This window comes from Homo sapiens, chromosome 12 (assembly GCF_000001405.40).
Source record: "Homo sapiens chromosome 12, GRCh38.p14 Primary Assembly".
NCBI lineage: Eukaryota > Metazoa > Chordata > Mammalia > Primates > Hominidae > Homo > Homo sapiens.
Window position 1 is genome coordinate 55,304,333 of NC_000012.12, and position 20,008 is coordinate 55,324,340.

Genomic DNA, 20,008 nt, shown 5'->3' on the forward strand with positions numbered 1-20,008 from the left:
CCAATGCAAGGAAGCTAAGAACCTTGACACAAGGTTACAGGAACTGCTAACTAGAACAACCAGTTTAGAGAAGAACAGGAATGACCTGATAGAGCTGAAAACCATAGCACAAGAACTTCTTGAAGCATACACAAGTATCAATAGCTGAATCAATCAAGCAGAAGACAGGATATCAGAGATTGAAGACCACCTTACTAAAATCAGGTGTGAAGACAAGATTAGAGAAAAAAGAATGAAAAGGAATGAACAAAGCCTCCAAGAAATACAAGACTATGTGTAAAGACCAAACCTACGATGGATTGGTATATCTGAAAGTGATGGGGAGAATGGAAACAAGTTGGAAAACACTCTTCAGGATATTATCCAGGAGAACTTCCCCAATCTAGCAAGACAGGCCAACATTCAAATTCAGGAAATACAGAGAACACCACTAAGATACTCCATGAGAAGAGCAACACCAAGACAAATGATTGTCAGATTCTCCAAGGTTGAAATGAAGGAAAAAATGTTAAGGGCAGCCAGAGAGAAAGGTCAGGTTACCTACAAAGGGAAGCCCATCAGACTAACAGTGGATCTCTCTGCAGAAACCCTACAAGCCAGAAAAGAGTAGGGGCCAATATTCAACATTCCTACAGACAATAATTTTCAACCCAGAATTTCGTATCCAGTCAAACTAAGCTTCATAAGTGAAGGAGAAATAAAATCCTTTACAGACAAGCAAATGCAGAGGGATTTATGTCACTACCAGGCCTGCCTTACAAAAGCTTCCAAAGGAAGAACAAATATAGAAAGACCAGTACCAGCCACCACAAAAACACACCAAAACATAAAAACCAATTAAACTATGAAGAAACTGTATCAGCTAATACACAAAATAATCAGCTAGCATCATGATGACAGGATCAAATTTACACATAACAATATTAACCTTAAATGTAAATGGGCTAAATGCCCCAATTAAAAGACACACAATGGCAAATTGGAGTCAAGACCCATCAGTGTGCTGTATTCAGGAGACCCACCTCATGTGCAAAGACACACATAGGCTCAAAATAAAGGGATGGAGGAAAATTTATCAAGCAAATGGAAAGCAAAAAAAAGCAGGGATTGCAATCCTAGTCTCTGATAAAACAGACTTTAAACCAACAAAAATCAAAAAAGACAAAGAAAGGCATTACATAATGATAAAGGTATCAATGCAACAAGAAGAGCTAACTATCCCAACTATATATGCACCCAATACAGGAGCACCCAGATTCATCAAACTTTCTTAGAGACCTACAAAGAGACTGAGACTCACACACAATAATAGTGGGAGACTTTAACACCCCACTGCCAATTTTAGACAGATCAATGAGACAGAAAACTAACAAAGATATTCAGAACTTGAACTCAGCTCTGGAGACATCTACAGAACTCTCTACCCCAAAACAACAGAATATACATTTTTCTCAGGGCCACGTAGCACTTATTCTAAAATCAACCACATAATTAGAAGTAAAACACTCCTCAGCAAATGTAAAAGAACAGAAATCATAATAAACAGTCTCTCAGACCACAGTGAGTGCAATCAAATTAGAACTCAAGATTAAGAAACTAACTAAAAACCGCACAACTACATGGGAATTGAAAAATCTGCTCCTGAATGACTACTGGGTAAATAACAAAATTAAGGCAGAAATAAATCAACACGTTCTTTGAAACCAATGAGAACAAACAGAAAACGTACCAGAATCTCTGGGACACAGCTAAAGTAGTGTTAAGAGGGAAATTTATAGCACTAAATGCCCACATCAGAAAGCTGAAAATATCTGAAATTGATACTGTAAAATCGCAATTAAAAGAACTAGAGAGGCAAGAGCAAACAAATTAAAAAGCTAGCAGAAGACAAGAAATAATTAAGATCAGAGCAGAACTGAAGAAGACAGAGACATGAAAAACCCTTAAAAGAACCCAATGATTCCAGAAGCTGATTCTTTGAAAAGATTAACAAAATAGATAGACTTCAGCTAGACTAATAAAGAAGAAAAGAGAGAATCAAATAAACCCACTTAAAAAATCATAAAGGGGATATCACCCCGATAGCACAGAAATACAAACTACCATCAGAGAATACTATAAACACCTCTATGCAAATAAACTAGAAAATCTAGAAGGAATGGATAAATTCCTGGACAAATACACCCTCCCAAGACTAAACCAGGAATAAATTGAATCCCTGAATAGACCAATAACAAGTTCTAAAATTGAGGCAATAATTAATAGCCTACCAATCAAAAAAAAGCCCAGGACCAGATAGATTCACAGCCGAATTTTGCCAGAGGTATGAAAAGGAGCTGGTACCATTCCTTCCAAAACTATTCCAAACAATAGAAAAAGAGGGACTCCTCCCTAACTCATTTTATGAGACCGGCATCATCCTGATACCAAAACCTGGCAGAGACACAACAAAAAGAGAAAAATTCAGGTCAATATCCCTGATGAACATCGATGTGAAAATCCTCAATAAAATACTGGCAAACTGAATCCAGCAGCACATCAAAAAGCTTATCCACCACAATCAAGTTGGCTTCATCCCTGGGATGCAAGGTTGGTTCAACATATGCAAATCAATAAACATAATCCATCACATAAACAGAACCAATGACAAAAACCACATGATTATCTCAATAGATGCAGAAAAGGCCCTCGATAAAGTTCAACACCTCTTCATGCTAAAAACTCTCAATAAACTAGGTATTGATGGAACATATCTCAAAATAAGAAGAGCTATTTATGACAAACCCATAGCCAATATCATACTGAATGGGCAAAAGCTGGAAGCATTCCCTTATAAAACTGGCACAAGACAAGGATGCCCTCTGTCACCACTCTTATTCAGCATGTAAGTTCTGCCCAGGGCAATCAGGCAAGAGAAAGACATAAAGTGTAACCAAATAGGAAAAGAAGAAGTCAAATTGTCTCTGTTTGCAGATGACATGAATGTATATTTAGAAAACCTCATCATCTCAGCCCCAAAACTCCTTAAGCTAATAAGCATCTTCAGCAAAGTCTCAGGATACAAAAGCAATGCAAAAATCACAAGGATTCCTGTACAGCAACAATAGACAAGCAGAGAGCCAAATCATGAAGACACTCCCATTCACAATTGCTACAAAGAGAATAAAACACCTAGGAATACAACTTACAGGGGATGTGAAGGGCCTCTTCAAGGAGAACTACAAACCACTGCTCAAGGAAACCAGAGAGGACACAAACAAATGGAAAAAAGTTCCATGCTCATGGATAGGCAGAATCAATATAGTGAAAATGGCCATACTGTCCAAAGTAATTTATAGATTCAACGCTATCCCCATCAAACTACTATTGACTTTCATTGCACAATTAGAAAATACTACTTTAAATTTTATAAGGAACCAAAAAAGAGCCCACATAGCCAAGATAATCCTAAGCAAAAAGAACAAAGCTGGAGGCCTCATACTACCTGACTTCAAACTATACTACAAGGCTACAGTAACCAAAACAGCATGGTACTGGTACCAAAACAGATTTATAGACCCATGGAGCACAACAGAGACCTCAGAAATAACACCACACATCTACAACAATCTGATCTTTGACAAAGATGACAAAAACAAGCAATGGGAAAAGGATTCTCTATTTAATAAATGGTGCTGGGAAAACTGGCTAGCCATATGTGGAATAAGACTTAAATGTAAACCCAAAATCATAAAAACCCTAGAAGAAAACCTGGGCAATACCATTCAGGAAAGACTTCATGACTAAAACACCAAAAGCAATTGCAACAAAAGCCAACATTGATAAATGGGATCTAACAATCTAAAAAGCCTCTGACCAGCAAAAGAAACTATCTGAGTGAACCTAGGCAACATAAAGGATGGAAGAAAATTTTTTCCATCTACCCATCTGACAAAGGTCTAACATCCAGAATCTATAGGGAACTTAAACAAATTTACAAGAAAAAAACAACCCCATCAAAAAGTGGGCAAAGGATATAAACAGACATTTCTCAAAAGAAGACATTCATGCATCCAGGAAATATATGAAAAAATGCTCACCATCACTGGTCATTAGAGAAATGAAAATCAAAACTGCAATGAGATACCATCTCATGCCAGTTAGAATGGTAATTATTAAAAAGTCAGCAGACAACAGATGCTGGCAAGGGTTTGGAGAAATAGGAACACTTTTACACTGTTGGTGGGAGTGTAAATTAGTTCAACCATTGTGGAAGACAGTGTGGGGATTCCTCAAGGATCTAGAACCAGAAACACCATTTGACCCAGCAATCCCATTACTGAGTATATACCCAAAGGATTATGAATCATTTTACTATAAAGACACATGCACACGTATGTTTATTGCAGCCCTATTTACAATAGCAAAGACTTGGAACCAACCCAAAAGCCCATCAATGACAGACTGGATAAAGAAAATGTGGCACATATACACCATGGAATACTATGCAGCCATAAAAAAGGATGAGTTCATGTCCTTTGCAGGAACATGGATGAAGCTGGAAGCCATCATTCTCAGCAAACTAACCCAGAAACAGAAAACCAAACACTTCATGTTCTCACTCATAAGTGGGAGCTGAACAATGAGAACACATGGACAAAGGGAGGGGAACATCACACACCAGAGCTGGGTCTGTCAGGGGGTGGTGGGAAAGGGGAGGGAGAGCATTAGGACAGATACCTAATGCATGCAGGACTTAAAACATAGATGATGGGTCAACAGGTGCAGCAAACCACCATGAAACATGTATACTTAAGTAACAAACCTGCACATCCTGCACACGTATCCCAGGAAATAAAGAATGTCCTGTGGCATTGTAACTAATGAAAATAGTAACAATAAAATTCCCTAAATTTTAATCAATAATATTATTCAATTACATACAAGTATTTCTCTGGTATTCTATGCAATTGATACAAAAGGATGACTCTGTTTAGATAACTTGAGAAGGAATGACATTCATTATTTCTGGTTAACTAAAAAAAAGAAAAAAATACACAGTATCTTCTGTAATAAAAATTGCATAACTGTACAAAAAAGACCTCTTCTCCCTGAATGTGTTACTGTGACTGTTTATTGATGAATATACAGAACAATACCTGGTAGAACATATTATAAATGTTTAATACTGGCTTATTTTAAAACTGGTTTATTTGAAAATGAAGGTTTGGTTGGAAACATAAGGACCATTCCATGTATCATGATATACTCTTGTGACACTTGATTCTCATAATCTTAATCATAAATTAGTTTTAAAATTAAAAATGAAATGCTGAAGTTTTAAATATTTTTATGATTTTTTATAATATTAGAATGCTTTATTTAGTCATTCATTCTGCTCAATGCATATAGAGATGTGTGAATGAATAAAGCATTGTTGGTACTACCCTCAAAGAGTGATCCACTGTTGAGTAGTTCAGCTCTGGAATTAACCAGCCCCGAAAGGAATGGAGAATAAATTATCTCCTGAGTGTAGACTCTGAGTGCCATGTGCGTATTAGGAAAATTAAGCATAGCCAAAAGGAAGGCAGTTTCATTGTATAAGCTGATTGGTACATCTTTATCTTGTTACATTGCTTGGCTTTCCAGAATGGTATGTGATGACTCATTACTTCTCTTGAATGTATCTCTCCATGCATCCTTCCTTTCTTCACTCTAGTCTCTCAGGGATCTATACGGTGACCAGAGAAGGTAAAATTGTGATATCTTTGTTTACTATTCAATCTTTATCTTATTCAGAGACCTTTGAATGGTTTTATCTTCCAATTTCTTAAATAAATATTCCCTGAAAATTTACTTAAAGTCTCAGAATTACAATAGTAGCTTCTTGGAGTTCAGGCCAGAGCAACATGTACATTTGTATGCAAAGCTAAAAGATAAATTTATTTTTACTAATAACAGAGGCTGCTAAAAATCTTACATGTAATTCAGCCTATATTTTCTCAGTGTGAGGGATTTTTATGTAATGGAGACAAGGGTAAACTAAACGACAAAAAAGTCTCCTGAAATGTATTATAAATGCATTATATTTCATATTTTAAATAAAACAAGAAAAATCTATAATTATGTTTATGACTACATAATTAGACCTACCAAAAAGTATTTTTCTTATTTGTCAATAAATAGACAAATTTTTATCTTTTTTATCCAAAAGTTAATTTTGTTGGAATAAATACCAGGGATTCCCAAATTATCACTTTAACATCTTTACTACTATTAATTTTACATTTAATATGTTTCAGCATTGTTCAAGTCACAGTAACAATCTCTGTCTTTTGATCTGCCAGTTTTGATGATATGCTAATGACCAAGTGTGTATTTTCTTGAAAGAAAAGAATGCTAATTGACAGAAGAATAAAACAAAAAGTAGGAAAAAATGTACAGTAACAGCTTTGATACTTATCATCTCCTGAGTGGCTCAGTTCGTGCTACAGAAAGAAGGTAATACAACAAATATTCAGAACTCATATCACAGACAGAATGCCATTTGCTAAGGATAAGGAGAGAACAAGACAGATAAAGGTCATGTAGATCACATTTTAGAGATTTGTGGTTTCTATAAAGAAAATCCTACGTAAAATTTATTCAATTATTTAGTCTTCAAAAAAGGAGACCATGTGATTTTATGGCATCAGAAAAACTCCCTTGTGAGTTGCTTCTTGTCATCAGGCAAGTTTAAGATTAAAAAGATTAAGTTAATATAGTTTTTTTTAAAGTCAATTTTTATTTTAAATAACAAACATGAAAATTATATACATGGATCATCAGTATGTTGTAGAATGATATTATTGAACTCCATCTATGTGACAATCAATTTCTCTGGCTTGTGTTTTCTTTCCCATAAGTTAAAAACTTTCGTTTGCAACCACAGCAACTCTAGTCTTATATTTCTGTGACTGCAAACACATTTATTTTTGTTGATCATATTTAAAAGAATATAAGTTAAGGATAAAAATAATCATAGCTACTATTAAGCTCAGAAATTGTGATTAGGTAATAAATTTATACCAGTAAAATTTATGTTTGTAAATAACATTGGAATTCAAACTAAAAATCAGATATTTCAGTCCTAAAAACACTGGAAACTGAAAAACCATATGTAAAAATAAAAATGACATATATAATTTTAAAATATTGCTGTAGAGATCTGTAATTCAAAGATATATTGCACATGTAGAAGATTTTATTAGATGAAGAGGTTTTATATAAAGTCACCAATAAGAAGACTTTTCATATATGTGAATACGTGTTTTCATTTTAATAGAGGCTATGTAGAATTTTTCTGCTTTAATAGGAATAAGTGGATATTACAAAAATTACTACAAGGAAAGACATCCATTGCTTCATGTCACTGAAGCCAGTTATTACAAATATTTAAATTTTAATTCCTTTACATTTCACTTATTCTTTTTGTGTGTTTTATTTTTCGCCAGCGGATCTTCTTGAAAGAAAAAAATCTCAGCATGAGAAACCACACAACGATTACAGAGTTTGTACTCTTGGGCATATCAGACAGCCCAGAGCTTCAGATTGTAATTTTTATCTTTTTATTTATAACTTATGTATTAAGCATAACTGACAATTTAACCATCATCATCCTTACCTTGACAGACTCTAGTCTAAAGACTCCTATGTATTACTTCCTCCGGAATTTCTCCTTTTCAGAAATTACATTCACCAGTGTTTCCATCCCCAAATTTTTGGGGGCAATTATTACTAAGGTCAAGACCATTTCCTATAACAACTGTTTAGCTCAATTATTTTTCTTCATCTTCATGGGTGCGTCTGAATTTTTTCTTCTAGCTGCAATGTCTTATGATCGTTATGTGGCCATCTGCAAGCCTCTCCACTACACCACCATCATGAACAAGAAAATTTGCACCCTGCTTGTCTTTAAGTTCATGGCTGGGAGGATTTCTGACCATTTTTCCACCACTCACGCTTATCCTCAAATTAGATTTTTGTGCTTCCAATGTCATTGATCACTTCTCCTGTGAGTATTTCCCCATTTTACAACTCTCATGCTCAGACATATGGCTTTTAGAGATTATTGGTTTTTACTTTGCCTTTGTTACTCTGCTGATCACCTTGGCATTAGTAATTCTGTCCTACGTATGCATCATTTGCACTATTCTGAGAATCCCATGTGCCAGTCAGAGGAACTTACTCCTCTCATATGATCGTCATCTCCATCTCTTATGGAAGCTGCATATTCATGTATGTCAAGCCTTCAGCAAAAGAAAGAGCATCATTGACCAAAGGAGTAGCTATTCTGAACACTTCAATTGCCCCCATGCTGAACCCTTCTATTTACACCCTGAGAAACCAGCAAGTAAAACAAGCTTTTAAAGATTTGGCTCACAAAGTAGTGTTTTATAGAAACAAATGAAAAGTATGTACTAACATGAATGAATGTCATCGTAAAGATTCAATAAAGGAAAAGTGAAGTTTTAACTTGTCCACTATCCTCCTATACCCATCTCAAAGCTACCAGAAATGCTGAGTTCATTTGCTTCAGTTTTCTTTTTAACTTGAAAGTGACTGTGTTGTGCCTTCCTTTAAAACTATCTGTAGGTTCCACGTAACCATTGATTTCCAATTTTGGTTAAAAAACCAGTGGCTATAAACATAAATCACCTTGTTGATTATTCTGAACAATACAAATGGTTCATACCATGGTTACTTAAAGAAGTAAACACTCTTTTAATCAACTTACTCTTAAAATTTCTCTTCTTGGTTACTCACATAACAATTTTTTCAAATGTTCTATATATATGATATATGAAATAAATTACTATCTGCAACAAACCTTTTTTGCATGCAGTATCCGTCCAATTCTTCCTACTCATCTGATGGACTTGGGTATTTATTTTCCTACTCACAAGTAATTTGAAGTTCAAAATATACTCTATTTTCTAGTTATGCTGAAGGTACACACTATGTCTAATTTATATGTTCTCCTTATTCATCATGTCTTTGTTTTTGAAAATGTATAAAAAGATAAATATTTAGGCAGCCATCATTGCTCTTAGGCACCCTGAGAGTCTGATATAAACTTCCTAAATAATAATAGCTCCTCTATAGAGAGTACTTACTCTGTTCCATATGCTGGGGTAGGTATGTTCTATCTCATATCTCATTTAATCTTTATAGCTACATGCAAAATAGACGTGGTTATCTGCTTTGTATAAATGTGTACATTGATACTCAGAAAAGTTGTGTAATTTGCCTAAGGTAACTGAGTTATAGTACACAATATAATAGTATATTTTAAAAAACAAACCAAAAAACTAGTCTTTGCTCTATTTTTACACATAGTGGAAACTCTGCAAGGACTTGCAAATTTTGCATAGCTTTTACTAAGAATCTGCACAATTTTATTGTCTTGTTCAGTTACATTATCTCATTTGGGCATGATTATACTATTATAGTCTAGACAGACACTAACTCCTAAAAATATATTTGGTATATAAATTGTAACATTAATCAATCAAAACAAGAAACTCTTCAACTGCCATTGCTGGTGAGCAATACAGTGAGCAGAGAAAAGTGTGAGCAGTATTACAGTAGTAAAAGTTACTAGAAGGCAGATTAAAAATAATGGGGTAGTAGTTTCCCAGTTTTACAAATGGCATGGAGTATTGAGTAGAGAGATCTGCACTAAGAATGAAGATATTTGATTGCTATCTCTGTATGCCATATAATGTCAAGGGAAAAAAATCTTCACACTTAGTATTGTTTTTGTTTGTTGTTATTTTCTTTTCTGTCTCATTGGACACTGTGCCCCAAGCTTCCTTTTCCAATTTAAATAGTAATGTGTATTATGTTTTATATTCCCTAGTGTTTTGTGTACATTTCTCTTCTGGCAATTTTGATTCACTGAATTAGTCCCCTTGAGCCAGTGGCAGACAGACTAGATGAAACATTACGTACCTCGTGGCATCTAGTATCTATGTAGAAACCATGCCAGACAGTTCTAAAACACTTTCAGATACTTTCCCTATTTTATATTTTTGCTCCTTTCTCACTCTCTACTATCAAAGACACATATTCTGTCTGGATAAAATGGGAAAATTAAGACAAAAGATTGAAAATAGGAAGAAAATTTCTTCAATGAGAAAGTGAATGTTTTCAGAAATCCTGGTTTTACTGGATAGCAATGGCATTTGCTAATATCTCTACTATTCCAGCCATTCTGAATGTTAGTGAAACTATATGAAAATCAGAGGTAAGTAAAACCTGTGGAAGGCAATGGAAGTCTCTCAAATCATAGCATTGAATCATTACTTAACAGCTCAACTTTTAATCAAAGTAAATAGGTATTATACTTTGAAACTTCACATAATAAAATGTATAAAAAGGATTAGCATGTCCTATTATACCAGTTTATTCATTCTCTAATAATTAAAAGCAGGAAATCACTATCTCTGTCTCTGTGTTTTTAATCAAATATAGCTATATAGTACTGTGCTTAAGAGAAGAGGCTAAGTCGTCTGAATTATACTTAATGTTTGCCTAGCTATATGAATTAAGTTATATAATTTCTCTGAGCCTCAGCTCTTCTTTTCAGAATAAGGATAAAATCTTCAGTTATGTTATAAAGTCTAAATGAGATAAAGAAAAAAAGTCCCTAGTTCAGAATAGATACTGCCTTTAATAAATCACAACTACAATGAATATTTTCCCAAATTAATTTCCAATAAAGGAAAAATAAATAATAAACTATTCCTAGAACCTACTAAATGCTGCATGATTTATGGAACACTTATTTATAGTATTTCAATTAATTCCCAAAAACATCCTTGAAATTTCAACTCTGTTTTAAACAGAGAAAACTGAAATTTAAAGACATTAAGTAACTCACCCAAAGTCACAAATCCATTAAATGTCTCATTCATATCTCTCTAACGTTAAAGCCTATATACTTTCTGTGATAATAAATTGGCCTTATAGGTCATAAATAAGAAATTAACAGTGTGTTAATACCACAGTTTTCTGTTAATTTATGTCCTTTTCCTATCTTGTTAAAATTATAAATGGCTAGTTAATGAACTGAAGGAATGAGGTTATGAGTGTTTATTTTCCAGAAACCTTTACAGAAATGAGTGTTACTATTTATGAAATTAAGTGTGATTTGGTGACACCTCTTTTCCCTTGATTTGTTTCTATACACACTTGTATGAAGGTTGAGAATTAAACCTGCCCATCATTATCGAAAGGAAGAAATATAAATTATTCCTATTTCTCCGGGGAAATAGTCATCTAAAATTGTTATAAAAACAGTAAAAAACAAATTTAATAAAATAATTATTTCAAGCACTCAATGAATTTTCCTGAAGAGCCACTGTTTCATTCAGGCCTACAGAATTTCTCAAAGTAACCCTTGTGTCATGGCCCACAGCCTAGAATAACCGAGCAGTACCAAAGTGTATTTCAGCATAATTATAAAACTGAGCTATATATTGCCCACAACATTGAGCTAAATAATTTTCTTTTTCATTAGTGTATTAACCTAAGCTCTAAAGTTGAAAAAAAACACAGAGTTATATGAGCAATATAGTTTTTGAAGATACGCTCTGCAAAATTTTTTCAGTGATCTCTATTAAGGTGAAGAAGAAAGAACTGAGTAAACACAGAAAAATTTAAAAACTAGATTTTCAAAGTATTTGCATTACTAAGGGAGGGCTCAACTCAGTGTAATTTAATACCTTATTAAAAAGTACATACACACACACACACACACACACACACACACACACCCCCCGAGAGAATAATAAAATAGAGCCAGTCAGTCCCTTATCTCAGTCTCTTAAAAGCACATACCTAGATTCTTCAAACTGATTTAGTCTCTAACAGTCCCTTTCTTACCAGGCACATCAAATAACTGCCAATATTTAACCTAATTTATTTAAGGGGTCATCGTTAATATTTACCTGATGGCAGAGCAAGATATAGGGTTGTTTCTAGAAAGCTCTGAAGATGCTTTGTAACCATTTTATTTAGTAAATATTAAATATCACCCTTAATTTTCATTTTAAATGGCTCAAATAATTTGTTGCAGGAATCTTTAGAAAACAAGTAAGTAATTTTGTTGAAATGGTGGAAGGAAATGAAAACAACCTAAGCCATATTCTTCCAGGAGAAAATATGGATTTGCATTCAGATATAAAAATCCAAGATAACTAATTAAATGCTTGGACCTATTCCTCATTATCTATATGAATACGTCCTGAGATCTTTTAATTCTCTAGGAATTCATTGCAACTTGTTAAACATTGAGGTTCAATCCTCTCAAAGGACTATGGATGCTGATAATTTTTATCAAGCTTATTTTATATTGGCAACTGAATACAATTCATTAAACTTTCATAAACATTTCTACATAAAAGCATGATATACCACACCCAGTTCTTGTTATTGGATCACATGCTACTAGAGTTCCTTTAAGCCTGTTTCCCTAGTCTTTGAAGACCAGCTATGGAAGTGTCTATTTTTTTTGTGAAGTCTCTCATGAACCCTTCAAATAACAACTTATATCTTCCCTCACAGCTTTTCCTATGTTCCCTCACAGCTTTCATCTGAAGCAAAAGAATGAGTCATGGTATTATTACTGAGTAAAGTGTTAAAAAAAATTAGCAGGGAATTTAAGAGGAAAACAGATTTACAAAAAAAGTTGAAATAAGGTGAATAATACAGTGCATTGATACATTATTCACTATAGACCAGTAATAATATAATATATATTTTTTAAAAACTTGAGTCTCTCATGTCAGTAAATTGTTGAATAAAATTGAATCTTCAGATTGAATCCAAATCTTGTATATTTGGTATGAATGTATTTTGTGACTTCACAGTGTTATGAAAAGCTCATGCTTTTAATGAAAAATAAACCCTGATGAAATAAGGATGATGTTGCTGGAGCTGGAGTAAAGTGAAATGAAAGGATGAATTGTAAAAAAATTTAAACCCAGTAATTCAGAAATAATGTTTCATGAAGTTTTCTTTAAACTTATGTATCAATAAAATGTGGTTCCCTTTTCATATCTTTTGTTTTAAATTTAGCCAATACGGTGAACTTGATCCAAATATGTAAACACAGCTCACAAGGTAAGACATGTAAGAAAATACATCTTGTAAAACAAAGATAAAAAACTAAGTAAGATCCAGGCTAGAATATCAGCATAAAATAGCAAACTGCACTGATGGCAGTGTGTGATTCAATAACAAACTCAACTTTAATTAATTAATTAATTAACTAGATGAGTGTTTCCTTTAAGCCTACCACAACCATACTAAATACTGGATTATGTTGAAATAGCTTTGAAGATAAAATCCTGTTCTAACTCTCAAGAATGCACAGAGTAACAGAGGAGTTAACAGGAGATTTCAGCCTGTTGTAAGTGTGATGAGTTGGGAAGAATGAGCATAATATTCTCATGCAATGTACACAATGGGTATTAAACCTAGTGTTGTAGAAATAAGAACAAAGGTAATTTGGGATGTCATTACAATGTATTACCCACAATGTATTACCCACAATGCTAATATATATATATATATTATATATATATGTATATATATACACACACACACACACATATATACACATATATATACATACACATATATACACACACATAAATACACACACATATATACACACACATAAATACATATGCACACTCACATATGTATATATAATATATATGCACATATAATTTACTGTAAGCTTCAACCACTTTTAGAAGGGTTATTACTAATGAAGAGCAGAGAAAATAACTGGCTGTGAGTAGCAATGTTGACAAGCTATGAACATCACAGTGATCAAATCCTGGTTGAAGATAAGTGGAGTGTGTGTGTGTGTGTGTGTGTGTGTGTGTGTGTGTGTGTGTGGTGGTGGTGGTTATGAGGTGAAAGAGGCAGCTATACCATGGTGGGAGAGGTCAGCACCATGTAGACAAGGAAGAGCAAAGATTTACTTGCCTAGAATATCTGACAGGTACTATGAAACCTGGTGACTTTTTTCCTATTGCTTTGTTGTTATTGTTCTCATGTGACTCTCTTGGTGCCAAATATAATTATTACTATTTATTTAAGTCATAAACTTTTGGACAGGACACCATCCCATTTCCAGAGATTTTCAGCTCAATGGTTAGGAAATACTTTCTCCATAGAACAAAGCCTCATACAGCTTTCGCTAAATGCTAAGCATTTTTCTAAATGCTTTATAAATATATATTATACAATATATAATAAATTTATTTATATAAAAATATAAATATAAATTATACAAATACACATATTTATAAAGAATTTAGAAAAGTTATAAGTAAGCTAATATATATTAAGTTATATGAAAGTTATTAAGTTAAATATATTAACTTAATGCTCACAAAAACTATGAGACAGACTTGTATACAGTGGAAGAAACTATAGGTGAGGATACTGAGACACAGAAGTGTTAAGTGATTTTCAGACGTAGTAAATGGGTTGGATTCAAAACTAGATAACCTCACTCTTTTCTATGGAAATGTTTATGACAATATCATCTGAACTTTATTTTTAAAAAGAAAGAATTAAAAATTGCTATTTCAAAGTATGAATACACAATTAAGCAAATCTTGGAGAATACTTATCTATCATCTCTTTAACTGAGGGCATCCTTCTCAAATTAATAATATTTTATTATTTACTTATTTATTTCAATTATAAAGCAAAATGGTTTCTACAGGAATAAAAGTTATAAAATGACACATAGGTAGGCTGAAATATCATGAAATATCATGAAATATTGATTCACATGCAATAAACTTCAGTTTTGGGCTCTTCCAGCTTACATTATTCTATACTTCTTCCTCTTCTGTATTCCAAACATCTGAAGTTGTTCATGGTAATGGCTTAAGTATTTCTGATTTTCAATAAAGTGGACGTAGGAGTTGGAAAATCTGAATATTCACAAAAGTTGATCGATGGCATTAAGGTTAAATAAAATACAGAGACAAATCTCTAAAATTTAAAACATCTTAGGTGGTAACCAAAAACTTCAATTCAAGGAATACACACAGACCAGGTGGTTTTTCAGTATGTCCAAAGAACGAAGAGAAGGTTAGAATCTGCATAAAAAAGAGAAATGTTATTTATTGCTCTTCAAGAAAGTTCATTGACACTGGAAAGGTTTAGGGGAGCTGCCAAGTTTTGATTGGTAAGTTAAGGCAATGAGTAAAACTACCCATAGGATACCCATAGGATCACAGCAGGTGATTTCAGCAGCTATTAGATAACACAGATTTCAGGTTACAGCAGGCAGTTTCAGCAGTCAGGCTTACACAGAATTACATTCTTAGAGCAATGCCATGTGCCCTGTGTGCTTTTTCCCACCTGGCATCTTGACCCTGTGTTGGTTGGGTATGACAAAAATGACCCAACCCAATCCATACAATCAACTTTCACAATGGCTAAGGACAAAGCACTCACTTTTTAAAAACTGGGCCAGTTGCAGTGGCTCATGCCTGTAATCCCAGCACTTTGGGAGGCCAAGGGGCGTGGATCACTGGAGGTCAGGAGTTCGAGACCAGCCTGACCAGCATGGCGAAACCCCATCTCTACTAAAAATACAAAAATTATCCAGGCGTGGTGGCACGTGCCTGTAATCCCAGCTACTCAGGAGACTGAGGCAGGAGAATCGCTTGAACCCAGGAGGCAGAGGTTGCAGTGAGCCAAGATTGCACCAGTGCACTCCAGCCTGGGTGACAGAGTGAGACTCCACCTCAAAAAAAAACAACCTCAAGTATCTTCTCCATATTGAGAATCATCAGAGTAATCAAACTTTTACATAAATAGGAAACTTGTATAGGGATTTGTGCAAGAATACGAAGGTGGTTCTGATTAGGGAGGAAACTTGTAGGCATGTCTTTGAAAGATAACAGGTATTATGTGGAGTCAGGAAAGTCTGGTTTCAAATTCCTGCCCTACCACTTCCAACTGTGATAACAAACTTTAATTTTTAACCTGTCTTATGTGAAGAGTTTTCACCTGTAAAACAGTGGAAATTAAAGGACCACTGTTATTATCGGGTGGCGTTAAATTTCCCCTTGAAGTAGAAATGGCATACTATGTCAACCAAACTCCAGCTCCGTACTTGGATATTTGTTAATTGATAACTCTTCAAGTTTGTTCTTTGTACTTTCTCTTGTAGGTCTGGCAGGGGAAAAAAGAAAGCAACTGAAGAATGAGAAACCATACAGAAATAACAGAGTTTATTCTTCTGGGATTAACAGATGACCCAAATTTTCAGGTTGTAATCTTTGTCTTCCTGCTCATCACCTACATGCTCAGCATCACTGGGAACCTGACCCTTATCACAATTACCCTGCTGGATTCCCACCTGCAGACCCCCATGTATTTCTTCCTCAGAAATTTCTCCATATTAGAAATTTCGTTCACAACCGTCAGTATACCCAAGTTTCTGGGTAACATTATTTCAGGAGATAAAACCATTTCCTTTAATAATTGCATAGTTCAGTTATTTTTCTTCATTCTCTTGGGAGTCACAGAGTTTTACCTTCTGGCTGCCATGTCCTATGACCGCTATGTGGCCATCTGCAAGCCTCTGCATTGCTTGAGTATCATGAATCGAAGAGTCTGCACACTGCTTGTTTTTACTTCTTGGCTGGTTTCATTCTTAATCATATTCCCAGCACTCATGTTGCTTTTAAAGCTTCATTACTGTAGGTCTAATATTATTGACCATTTTACCTGTGATTATTTTCCACTGCTGCAACTTGCTTGTTCAGACACAAAATTCTTAGAGGTGATGGGATTTTCTTGTGCTGCGTTTACTCTAATGTTCACTTTGGCATTAATATTTCTGTCCTACATATACATTATCAGAACAATTTTGAGAATTCCTTCTACTAGTCAGAGGACAAAGGCCTTTTCCACATGTTCTTCCCACATGGTTGTTGTCTCCATCTCTTATGGCAGCTGCATTTTTATGTACATTAAACCCTCAGCAAAAGATAGAGTGTCCTTGAGCAAGGGAGTGGCAATACTAAACACCTCAGTAGCCCCCATGATGAACCCCTTTATTTACAGCCTAAGAAATCAGCAAGTCAAGCAAGCTTTCATTAACATGGCAAGGAAGACTGTATTTTTCACAAGCACATGAAATGGTATGGTGTGATGAATTAGAGGCACAGGAAAGGACAATATGAATTTTCAGTAGCTTCTTCAATCAAAATGGCCTCCTTGCAGTCTTCTGCATCATTTTCTTTTCCCTAAAAGTTTGCAAGCATATTTATTTAATATATTTCTCATTTGACTTAAAATAATTTTCTTGTGTCTTCCTGACACCCCCTCCTTTGAACAATTTTTTGTAAAATTACAAGCTCTTCAAGAATATTTTGAAAACTAAAATTATTCTTCAGTTTACTTCAAGAAATAAAATTATACCTAGATACATTGGAATGGCTTTATAAATATCAATATGATATTCTACTTGTTATACACAGAACATATAGTTTTATAATTTTAATTTATTCTTATAGAAATTCCCTTCACTATGCTACTGATGTTCTAGGAAATATGTGAAAGATACAATATAATTTTTAAAAAATGTAAGTGAATTCATTTGAAAAGCAAAAAAAAATTTCATTACTCATTTTAATTAGGTATGTTGGTGAAATTAATCTATTAATAAAGGAGCCTAGACCATTATCAATATATACTTTTTTGTTATAAGTGCTAAGTAGAGCTCCATATTTGTGAATCCCATAATATTCTCTCTGTAGAATGACAGATGATGGATAGACACATATGCAAATACATACATAAGTTTTGTCAAACATAGAGAATATATAGTATATTCCTAAGATATGTTAATTTTCTGTGAGTGGAAAATAAGCTTCTTTCTATCATTACCTAAAAGTAGTATGTAAATCTTCTTAAATTTTAGACTAGTTTAAAACAGGATATGTATCCAAATTATTTTATACCTGAACAAAATTATTTAAAGTTTAGTTTTATAGAAAATAAAAGCTTCAGAAAAAAGCAAAAGTTTTTTAGTATATCTAAAATTATGATTTTTATCTGTTAAAATTTTGCTTCCTTGTACTTAACATATTAATAAATGTCTAAAATATGCAAGCAAGATGAGTGTGTGTGTGTGTCTGCGCCCATGGTTTCAAAAGCTGAAATAAGAATTAATGATACTAAAAAGTACTATAAATTTTATAGACCACATTTTTAAGTAATAGAAAAATTATCATTCTAATCAGTGATACAAAATTCCTTAAGATTTTTGTGCAATATATTCAACTGGGAGACTAAGAACAAGGTTTGCTGAGAAAAAAAGTCAAAGAAAACTGAAATGAATTCAAAATGTTAAACAGAAGATAGAAATGGTTTCTTAATTTTATTACTTCCTATTAGAAATAACATTTTCATGTTAAACAAGAAAAATGATTGAAAGTCTGTGGTTTCTATGCCCTCTGAGCACATATTTTCTCATGTGTAAACCAGGCATAACATCTTAAGTAAGTTACTATAAGAATGGAAATCAATCTGTAAAGCATGTAACATAATGAGCTAACAATACATAGTAACGACTATTTCTATTGTTATTTTTACATATAGTACATCTACAATTATGTTCAGATTTACATTTTAAAAAATTTTATTTCTTTAGGATTTCAGGTCAATAATAGCTGACAGCTGACAGATGCATTTATAAAAATTAAAACTAAATGACATTATCATCAATGTTTGAAAAGATGTATAAACTAAATTCAGTAACAGATGAGGAGGAGAAAATTTTAATCAGAGTTATCTATGGAAACCTGATAAAGATGATTGTATGATTATAAAATATTGAGAAATTCATTATGCTGTAACATGATTGATATGAAAAATAATTACAGAATTTTGGAATTTTTAAATGAGAGAGGTGAGAGAGTCCTTGGAATATTGACATTGGTGCATATTAGATTGTTACTGAGAAACAGGATATGTACATGTACTTAGCCAGAAACAAATTATAGAATTGCTTGAAGACCAGTCTGAAATATTTGTATTCTTTATGGTAATTGATTTAGAATTATTTTAGACTTGTTAGAAAGTAATCAATATGATTACCAGGAATAAGTGCTTAGATTCTAAAGAATAATAACTCAACCATTGTGTTCTTTATATGCAGATAGGTGATCCCACATTTGCAACACATAATCACATCATTAGATTCTTATTGCTATAAACTTCACTTGTCCATAATAGAGAGATTAGCATTCATTTGTCAGGCACTTTTTGAAGAGAGAGATAAAAAAAAACATAACTCATGCAACTAGAGTTCATTCACAGTATTATACAAGAAATCTAAAAGATAACTATCATAGAGGGCCTGGATGATAATGCAGCCAGACTTCCATCAGAGACACCATTAAAATACCCACAAAAAGAAGTCTTTTTAGGCCAGGTGCAGTGGCTCATGCCTGTAATCCTAGTACTGTGGGAGGCCAAGGTGGGCAGATCACCTGAGGTCAGGAGTTTGAGACCAGCCTGGGCAACACAGTGAAACCCCGTGTCTACTAAAATACAAAAATCAGCCGGGTGTGGCAGCATGTGCCTGTAATCCCAACTACTCAGGAGGCTGAGACAGGCGAATCACTTGAACCTTGGGAGGCAGAGGTGGCAGTGAGCTGAGATCGCACCACTGAACCCAAGCACATGCCACCCAGCCTGGGTGACAGAGCATGGGTGACATTCATCCTAGGTTGACAGTTCCAAACTAACAGATTAACAGCTCAAAACAATTCAAATATATTATTGTCCTTAGAAACAAGTATAAGTTACATAGTTATAACCAACAGTATAATTCCTCTAGTGTCTTCCAAATAAGCTTTCACTTTCTGGAAGTGCTTGTAGACATTCAACATTTAATTCATATTACAGGTTTCTACCCAATAGGTATCTACTG

The 20,008-nt window shown here is 33.8% G+C and overlaps 1 protein-coding gene and 1 pseudogene across 1 annotated transcript; both read left to right on the forward strand.

Annotated features, from left to right (window-relative positions):
- On the forward strand, positions 7,503–8,425 carry OR6C5P (olfactory receptor family 6 subfamily C member 5 pseudogene; annotated as a pseudogene).
- OR6C1 (olfactory receptor family 6 subfamily C member 1) lies at positions 10,011–18,032 on the forward strand. Its single transcript, NM_001005182.2, has 2 exons — positions 10,011–10,267; positions 16,235–18,032. The coding sequence occupies exon 2, from the start codon at positions 16,268–16,270 to the stop codon at positions 17,204–17,206; it is 939 nt and encodes a 312-aa protein (NP_001005182.1). The 5' UTR covers positions 10,011–10,267; positions 16,235–16,267; the 3' UTR covers positions 17,207–18,032.
- Positions 18,033–20,008: the final 1,976 nt, after the last annotated feature.

Bases quoted from the DNA above. Each gene is read 5' to 3' on its own strand.
- OR6C1 (NM_001005182.2), top strand. From the start codon at position 16,268: ATGAGAAACCATACAGAAATAACAGAGTTTATTCTTCTGGGATTAACA.